General features: G+C 39.8%; 1 long non-coding RNA gene across 1 annotated transcript; it reads right to left on the reverse strand.

Moving 5' to 3' along the window:
- Positions 1-1,659: 1,659 nt before the first annotated feature.
- On the reverse strand, positions 1,660-3,117 carry NRAL (NRF2 regulation associated lncRNA). The gene is made up of 2 exons (NR_186236.1): positions 2,915-3,117; positions 1,660-1,951 (listed from the first exon to the last, which is right to left on the reverse strand). It is a non-coding gene; the product is annotated as an NRF2 regulation associated lncRNA (long non-coding RNA).
- Positions 3,118-10,376: the final 7,259 nt, after the last annotated feature.

The raw sequence follows: 10,376 nt of genomic DNA on the forward strand, positions 1-10,376 counted from the left end.
GCTTTCTGTCATACCAAATTATCTAATTATTAAATGGTATCATTATCAGTTGAGTTAGGCAATGTGATCTGGCCAAGCTGTTCACACTGCTCCTGCTGGATGCTGTTCCCACAGCTATAAACCCATCACTTATCCCTGGGTCAGTATCCTGGTGGAAGCATCAAATGGCTGAGTATGCTCACATGCTCAAGCCCTGACTACCAGGGGGTGGGACCAGAGAAGCCCTCTCTGCCTGAGCTATCCAGAGGAGCAGGGCACTGTATCCCAAGAATACTATATACATATGGTGAATGGTTCACCTCAAACAGGACAAAAGGTTGGATGCTAGGTAGAGCAAAATGCAGTGATAGCGTATCTGTTTAGTAGGGCAAGTACGGACCGAATTGAACCTAGTTGACTAAAGTGGGGATAAACTTTCCTTCCTCCCCTCACTCCCTTTCTTTCATTTTCCCCAAAATATCAACCAAAAGGATTGAGAAAGAAAACTAGAGGAAGTAGTTTTCCAATTGTAGTGAATGTAAGACTCACACAGGAGCTTAACATACATGCAGACCCTAAGGCTTGAGCCCCCAGATTCTGATTTCATAAACGTTTTTAGTACTTGTCAAAAACAGGCAGGATCCCCTAAACTAAAATGGCCTGAATAATATCAAAGTAACACTAAATAATTCTTTATTTTAAAATAAGGGAGTAGTAAAATAACTGGCCAAAGACCCTTGATATTATAGAATTTCTATGTTACTACTTTTAAAAAAGAAACACAAAGACACTAAGATAGTATCCTAAAGGCTATGACCCCTGATTTTGGCAAGCTGCTGAAATAATAAGTCTGGAATGAGATTCAGGAATCTGTATTTTTATTAAGCCCTTATGTGATTCTGATGCAGCTTGTCCAAAGACCTCATTTTGAGAAACTCAACCTAGGAAGTCAAAGGGTTAACATAGGCAATTCTGTCTACTTGATAACTGGAGAAATCACAGTCCAGCTCAGCTAGGGTCCCTCCTCTGTGCTCTATTAAATGGGCTTCATCTCACCCCTAAATTGCAGGTTTGGCCTCCATCTGTTGTTACTGAGCCTCTGCAGGCATCTACACCATCACCTGATTTGGCCCTTGCTTTGGCTTCCAGTGGCTGGCATTAGTGGTCACCAGAGTGCAGGAAAATGGATAGAATGTGCTCCAATGACAAAGAGAACTGGACTTAAGAGTGAGGAAGTTTAGCACTTTGAGTTTTCTTTATAAACCCTGCCACCACTTCTCCAAGTGAGAGATTGGAGGGTTGGTAAGAAAAAGATGAAAAGGGAGAAAAAAGAGTAAGATAATGAAATTGTATCTTTCTTTACTTTATGGTTTATGTAGCACTCTGTCCTTCAAAGAGCTTCTAGAAAAAGATAACTGTGAGACTAAACAGTCTGGGGCAAAAAGTCAGTGCGATGGGGGACAGATGAGGGCATATGGGAGAGCATCAGAGGCAAGGAAGCATGTTGGGGGACGCAAAGCAACGTGCCCGATCAGGGGGTACATCATGGCAGGGTAAATTCATTGAAATGCCTTCCAACTTCCAAGAGGGGAGAAATAGTCATATTACATAATGGTAGATTGTTAAAAGTCCAGGGAATCCTCTGAATTGATTATGAAACATAAGCCCACAACTGTTTGGTCTGGAATAATTTAAAATATTGAACAATTTTTATTATCAGGGAAAATTGGAACCCATAACTACCATATCCTGGTAAGCTATGCTCCCATACTCCACTCCCCACTCACTGGATTCTCGTTATACCTTCCAGCATTGGTTTCTTTAGAAATTTTTCGAGTTGTTCTAATATAAGGAAGCAAAGAGCCAGGGGTCCAGGACCTGTGTCCTGGACACAGGACATCTTTGCTTGGCTGCCAACTTGCAGGTGACCTTGGAAGAGTCATTTCATCTCTTTGGCTTTCAGTTTCCTCATCTGTAAAAAAAAGAAGTAGTTGAAATAGTAGTCTGTATACCCCTTCTATGTATAACACTCCACATTCCCTTAATATATTCAGGATATTTTTAAAGAACTTGCTAACCTTTCCATGAAAGACAAAATAAAAGTCCACTATTTAGAGCTAGTGATATTTTTATAAGACCTAGGAGAATTCTCCTAACAGTAAACAAACTAATGGCTTTAGTTTCCCTATCATTTTGCTAATGCTGTGAGCAAACCACCCAGTTTTAAACAATAGAAATTTATTTTCTTATGATCCTGGAGGCTAGAAGCCCAAGATCAAGATGTCACCTGGGTTGGTTTCTTTTGAGGCCTCTCCTTTTGTTTTGTAGATGGCCGTCTTTTCCTCTGTCTTCGGATGGTTTTCCCTCTGTTGTGCCTGTTTGTGTCTCAATCCTCACTTTTATTTTTAAGATGGAGTCTTGCTGTCGCCCAGGCTAGAGTACAGTGGCACGGTCTTGGCTTACTGCAATCTCTGCCTCCCGGGTTCAAGTGATTCTCCTGCCTTAGCCTCCCAAGTAGCTGGGATTACAGGCTCCCGCCACCGCACCCAGCTAATTTTTTTTTTATTTTATTTTTAGTAGAGACGGTGTTTCACCATGTTGGCCAGGCTGGTCTCGAACCCCTGGCCTCAAGTGATCCACCCACCTCGGCCTCCCAAAGTGCTGGGATTACAAGCATGAGCCACCATGCCTGTCCTCAATCCTCACTTCTTATAAGGACACCAGTCAAATTAGATTAGCGGTCACCCTAATGGTCTCATTTTAAGTTAATTAGATCTTCAAAGACTGTATCATGAAATAATACAGTCATATTCTGAGTTACTGGGGAGTTAGGACTGTAGCGTATAAACTTGGAGGGATGACGAGACTCAATTCAGCCCATAATAGTCAGTCTCCAAGCCAGTGCATCTTTAGGAGTATGGTAAACATCTTATACCTCAGCTATCTTGGGTGAAGCCCCAAATTAGATGAACAAAGGATTCAATGAACTCTTAAAGACCTCATCAGTTCTAGGTATTTGTGATACTATATAAAGTTCTTCAAACCCAACACCCGATCACCAGGAACATAAACCAAGGAGGGGTACAAAGAGCAAGTCTGCAGGAAAATAAAATAAAAGGGCAAATTGTTTGTACTTTGGGGAAAGCAAAGATGGAAAAGAACTTTGAAGCATTTACATTTAGAGCAGTTCCATTACATCATAAGGGCAGAAGTATTTTATCACACAGCTATTATTGTTTGATCTGTGCCAGTAGGTGAACTTTTAGAGAGCATAGGAGTCCATTTCACATAAATCGCACTTTTAGCAAATGCAGAAGCAGGATCCTGCTGAGGACAAAGGAAAAATTCATGATGCAATTCCCACTTATCCTCATGGGTGCCTTTTTACCACTAAGAATGAGGAAGAAGAATTCCTTTCCAACACCACTGTAAAAAGAATACTTACAAATTACTCTTCCTCATTGTTTGGACAGTAAAAGCAAGTAATGAGTCTCACACCACATATCTCGGGTTTTTATAGCCTCGGTAACCTATCTGTCTCCTCAGGTATGTTCTCAGTGGCACAGATAACTGAAAAGAGAATAAATGCATAGGTTCTTGTGCTCAGGCCTGCCTCCAGGCCATTGCTCCCTGTGGCTTCTCAGGGCCCACAATACACTGCTGGGCATCATCTCTGTTTTCCCAGTGGGAAAAGAGGTACATGATATTCATTGTGTATTTCTCCTACACTCTGCAGCCAACCATCCTCATCTGTAGAACGTTACACTTCTCTCTCAAGGAACCCCTACTGCCTATGAAATCACATTTGTTTAATAACTAAAATTCAGATTTAAACACACACAAACATATACACACACAAAGAAAATAGTTTGGATGCCATCTTAGACATTAGCCTATTTATATGTCATAAACTGTCTGTGTCTCAATCCTTGCTTCTTATAAGGACACCAGTCAAATTCTGGAAACCACTGCCCAACCACACTTTTAACTCATTCTAGTGAGATATCACCCACTCTCTACTAGTTTCTTATCACTGTTGTAACAAGTTACCACAGAGTTAGTTGCTTATACAGCATAAATATATTACCTTATAGTTCTGCAGGTCAGAAGTTCAATGCGGGTCTCACTGGTCTAAAATCAGGTGTTGGCAGAGTTTGGGGAGAATCTCTGCCTTTTTCAGCTTCTAGAAACTGTCCATATTTCTTGGTTCACACCCCACCCCTTTCTCCGTTTTCAAAGACAGATAGGTTGCATCTCTCTGACACTTTTTCCATTGTCATGTCTCCCTCTGACTCTCTGATTTTCTCTGTCACTTTTAAGGACCCTTGTAATTAGATTGGGACCACCTGTATAATCCAGGATAATCTTTCCATCTCAAGGTCTTTAACCTTCATAACATCTGCAAAGTCCCTCTTGCCATGTAAGGTAACATATTCAAAGGTTCTGGGGATTGGTACATGAACATCTTTGGAGGGCCATATTCTGCCTACTGCAGGCTCTGACTAATTTAGCTGTGCATTTTGGTGTCTTCGTTTGCAAAGCCACAGAAAGATATGTAATTACAAGGCAGATTGTTTTTCTTGAACAACCCAGTGTGGTTTCTTTTACATCATGTAGGGAGAGAGTAGGAGGGGCCTACATTTAGAGCCCCACCGGGTGAGATGTGGGATCTGTCAGAGGATTTTTTTTCTTGCTCACCCAACCATGCAAACCAGTGGAAGTCTTGATTTCATTTTGGTTAGTCATGATCTCCGATGGGAACCACATTCATGTGTGTATATCTGTATGTGTGTATGTGTATGTGTATGTGTATGTGTGAATTTAGGTAAAGCCTTCCAGGAGCCCTCTTTGCCCCCTTAGACTGGTTCTGATGTCTCTTGGCTCTCATCAGAGCAGTCATAACACTTTGTTGCATGTGTCTGTCGTCTCATCTGTCAATGTTGGACAACAGGAGGGCAAGTACTCTAACTTGTTTCTGTTGTACTCCCCGTGCCTAGCACATGGCCTGCCAGGATGTTTAATAAACATTTGCTGAATTAATGAATGCTCCACATCAAATCTCCTATTCATAGTGTTACTAGCCCAGCCTCTGACATAAGTGAGTGGCCTGGCAGACTACTAAAGATAGAGTAGAAATCTGAGGAGTATTTCCCAGAATTTTAACATTGAATTAATTAAATTGGGAAAATTCAGAGTTTGTTTTTTTCTCTTGTAAAACAACTTGGCAGACAAATTTTATATATTTGATCATTGAATTTCTAACACAATAGTAAAATCTGCCAATGGTGAACCAGGGACACAATGTAGAATTCAGGAAAGCACTTTGATCTAGGATCACAACGCTTGAATTCTGGTTTACGTAGCTGTATGGTTTGGGGCAAGTCATTTACCATCTCTGGGATCTTATCCTTATCTCTAAGTGATTCCAGTTGATGCTTAACATAGGTAACGGCCAAGGGCCTTCTCAATGCTGAAATGCTGTCATCTCCATGGTCCTGTTATTCTAGTGTGGCGTGACTCATTCTTTCCTAAAGTGTGGAATATGAAATGTAGGTGATCGGTTGGGAGTGGGGTGGATGTGACATGATTTTAAGTACATAAATGAACATTTTTTAATTTTAACAATGTGTTGAGTGGGCTGAATGCCGTGAGGTACAATCAAGAAATGGCATGGTTTTCATCCCCTACTGTATCCCATGCACTCTTACAGCTCTCCGTTCTGCTGCTGAATGATAGTCTAGACCAGTTTCATAATTTTTTGAATCATTTTTGGTATTTGAACAGTCTCATGCTCATGTATTAAAAACTCCAGTCAAATGAAAACCTAGATTTCAATCTTTCATCCAGTTCAAAGTTTTTGCCCTCCACCATCTGAATCCTTACCCTTGATTCTGAAGACCAATAGTAGGAAAAGAGAGTGATGGTTTATTTTGCTTTCCTTGATTCACTGACTCCAATTCATAGTGTTACCACTGACATCCCCAGAGTCAAGGCCAGGGGAGGGGGATTGGAGGACAACAGAAAGACTGGCTTGCCTGGAACTGGTATAAACTTGCTGTCAGAGGCTTCCCCGGGACAGAGGCCCAACTTGGTTTTCTCTGGGGGCATTTTTACGGGCCCTTTGGAGATGCTTTCACCCAATCAGCCTCTCTGTCAGGATTTGCTTTTGCTCTCCTCAGCAGGTGAATCTTGGGTAGCATCCCTTCAAGATGGCTCTAACCCCACTCCTTTCTGGGGCATTGCCCGTGGCTCATGGAAGCTCACATACCTTGCTCTATCTGCCATTTGTAGAAGGGCAGCTTGCTTGGCCCTGTCTTTGTGTTACTGCCTGGTGGAAGCACCAAGTAACCTCTTGTACTCTGATGCCTTCGGTTGTCCAAGACTCCAGGGGATGTGACTTGGGCTTCCCCCAAGAATTCACAAATGCTCTGGAGCTTAGCTCCCCAGAGCTTGCATCTGGCTAGGGAGTAAGAAGCCAGCGTCCACATCTGGCAAGGATCATCATGAGTGGTTTTCTTGGGACCTCCCTTACTTTGCTCAGAGTAGAAGGGGAAGAACCCACAGTATCCTCTAATCCAATGAGATATTCTCATCCTGATGAATCTTCAACCTTCTCTTTGTAGTCCTAAAGGACAAGCTTGGCCACCTATTAGCACCTTACTTTAGATGACTGGGGCACTTCTCATTCCTTTTTAAAAGCTTTGAAACTTAGCCAAAATTTTGAGATGACAGGGAAAGTCCCCTTTTACATTTTGTTATGTATTTATTTTGCTGTGTATCAGCATATATAACTTAACAAATCTGATTTCATAAATACTGTTTATGATTAGAATAAATACGGAAAGTAGGAGAATTAAAGAGAAAAGTAAATTAATAATAGTATAAGTGGCTTATAGATATTGCAAAGACATCATGTATATTAGGGTTCTCTAGAGGGACAGAACTAATAGGATAGATAGATATATAATAGGGAACTTATTAAGTAGTAATAAATCACATGATCACAAAGTCCCACAATAGGTCATCGGCAGGCTGAGGAGCAAGGAAGGCAGTCTGAGTCCCAAAGCTGAAGAACTTAGAGTCTGATGTTTGAGGGCAGGAAGCATCCAACACAGGAGAAAGATGTAGGCTGAAAGGCTAAGCCAGTCTAGCCTTTTCATGTTTTTTTGTCTGCTTTATATACTGGCAGCACTTGCAGCTGAATAGATGGTGCCCACCCAGATTAAGGGTGGGTCTGCCTTTCTCAGCCCACTGACTCAAATGTTAATCTCCTTTGGCAGCACCCTCAGAGACACACCCAGGATCAATACTTTGCATCTTTCAAACCAATCAAGTTGACACTCAGTATTAACCATCACATCATGGTAATACTCTGTTGGGCCTTCATGTCAATGTTAAGTGGGACAGTGCAAGGCTGAGGCAGCATACTCTCCCCTTTCCAGCCCAACTGTGACAAAGAGTGCTTATTCCGAATTAAAGACAACATTTTTACTCCATTGTAGCTAATCTACAATGGGACATTTTCTTCTTCAGCTTCACAGTTAAATTTTTCCAAGTGCTCAAACAGTGAGAAAATGCTAATTGCCAAGTTATAAGAGAATAACCTGTTTACTCTATTGAGATGAAGAATTGTCTTAAAATTATAAAGTGGGTGCTAAATAAGGTGGTCACAATACAGAATAATAAAGCCCTCTATAATGATCTATAGTTAAAAAAAAGAGATGGTCTGTATCTTCTTTCTTGATTACTTAAAGTAGTATAAAGCAACTGCTATGATCTGAATGTATGCATTGCCCTTTCCCAAATTCATATGTTGAAATCCTAAGCCCCAAGGCATAGTATTAGGTGGTGGGACTTTTGGAAGGTGATTAGGTCATGAGGGCATGAGTGGGATTAGTGGCCTTGTAAAATAATCCCAAAGGAGCTTGTTTGCCCCTTCTGCTATTTAAGGACGCAGCCAAAAGATACCATCTATGAACCAGAAGGCAGGACCTTACCAGGCACATAATCTGTCAGAACACATGTTAGACTTTCCAGTCTCCAGAACTATGAGAAATAAATTTATGTTTTGGGAAAGGGACCCAGTCTATAGTGTTTTGTCAGAGTAGTCCAAAGGAACCAAGATGGCAGCACGTTGAAAATGTTAAGGGAAGTTTTAAAAATATGAATTTCCATGGAAAAAGAGGCTTTGTAGGTGAAAGAATGCTGAATCTAGAATAAAAATTCCAGCTTTGCAACTTACCTACAGATAGCATGATCTTAGGCAATTCCCTTGGCCTCCCTAAGCCCATCTTTGTAGAATTGCCCTACAGAGCCATACTGGATCTGTGCAAAGATCAAGTAAGATAATGTACAGTCTTGCATCACATAACAACAGCAATACATTCTGAAAAATGCATCTTTAGATGATTTTGTCATTGTGCAAACATCATAGATTGTACTTATTACAAACCTAGATGGTATAGCCTACTACACACCTAGGCCAAATGATATAGCCTATCGCTCCTAGGTTACAAATCTCTACAGCTGTACAGGATGCTGAATACTGGAGGCAATTGTAACATAAGTAGTTGCATATCTAAACATATCCAAACATAGAAAAAGTACAGTAAAAAATATGGTGTAAAAGAAAAAAGATGGTACACTCGTACAGGGCACTTAGCATGAATGAAGTTCACAGGACTGGAAGTTGCTCTGGATGAGTTGGTGAGTAGTGAGGGACTACGAGGGCCTAGGGCATTACTGTACACTGCTGTAGGCTTCATAAACACTGTACACCCAGGATACACTAAATTCATAAAAAACTTTCTTCAAAAATAAATTAACCTTAGTTTACTGTAACTTTTTTACTTTATAAACTTTAAAAATTTTAAAAACTTTTTGGCTCTTTTGTAATAACACTTAGCTTTAAACAGAAACACATCGTACACTTTACAAAAATATTTTCTTTCTTTACGTTCTTATTCTATAAGCTTCTTTCCTGTTAAAAATGTGTTGTTGGTTTTTTGAACTTTTTAGTTAAAAATAAAGACACACACACACAAACACACACACACACACACACACACACACACACACATACATTAGTCTAGGCCGACACAGGGTCAGAATCATCAATATCATTGTCTTCCACCTTCACATCTTGTCCCACTGGAAGGTCTTCAGGGGCAGTAACACCCATGGAGCTGTCATCTATGATGATAACGCCTTCTTCATAGCTCCTGAAGGACCTGCCTGAGGCTGTTTTACAGTTAACACTTTCTTAAAAGTCAAAGGAGTACACTCTAAAATAATGACAAAAGTATATTCTAGTAAATACTAGGTGATGGGAATTTTTTAGCTCCATTATAATCTTATGAGACAACCACTGTATATGTGGGCCATCATTGGATGAAACGTCATTATACGGTGCATGAGTGTATGTGACACAGAAATAATCTAAAGAGCCCAGTGCAGTGCTTTATCAGTCAATAGACAAGAGAAATTGACCTTAACATTTTTCATTGAGATATAATTTACATTGACAATGGGCCAATTTTAAGGTACAGTTCAATGTGTTTTGACAAATGTATGTAGCCATATAACCGACGCCACAATGAAAATTATAGAAAATTGCCACCACCTCAAAATATTCTATTGTATCCCATTGCAATTCCCTCCCTACTCCCACTTTCATTTTTTGTAGAATTTTATATGTAGTCATGCGCCATCTGAAGACATTTCAGTCAAGGATGGGCCACCTCTATGACAGATTATAACGGAGCCGAAACATTTCTATCATTTAGTATTTACTATACTGTACTTTTTGTCATTATTTTAGAGTATACTCCTTTTATTTATTAAAAGAAAACACCCACATTCACTGTAAAACAGCCTCGGGCAAGTCCTTCATGAGGCATTCCATAAGAAGGCATTATTATCATACGAGATGACAGGTCCCTGCATGTTTTTGACCCTGAAAATCTTCCAGTGGGATAAGATGTAGAGGTGGAAGACAGAGATATTGATGATCCTAACTCCGTGTTGGCCTAAACTAATGTGTATATTTGTGTTTTTGTCAAAAAAGTAAAAAATAAATAAATAAAAATAGAAAAAACCTTATAGAATAAGAATATAAAGAAAAAATGTTTTCATACAGCTGTACAATGTGTTTGTGTTTAAAGCTAAGTGTTTTTACAAAACAGTCAAAAAGTTAAAAAATATTTTAAGCTTATAAAGTAAAAATGTTGAAGTAAGCTAAAGTTAATTTATTATTGAAGAAAGATTTTTAAAATAAATTTAGTGTAGCCTAAGTGTACAGTGTTCATAAAGTCTACAGTATACTACTGTATACTACATTATACTGTATACTACATATACTGTATACTACAGTATACATATACTACATATACTGTATA

Source organism: Homo sapiens, chromosome 2 (assembly GCF_000001405.40).
Source record: "Homo sapiens chromosome 2, GRCh38.p14 Primary Assembly".
In the NCBI taxonomy this organism is placed as follows: Eukaryota; Metazoa; Chordata; class Mammalia; order Primates; family Hominidae; genus Homo; species Homo sapiens.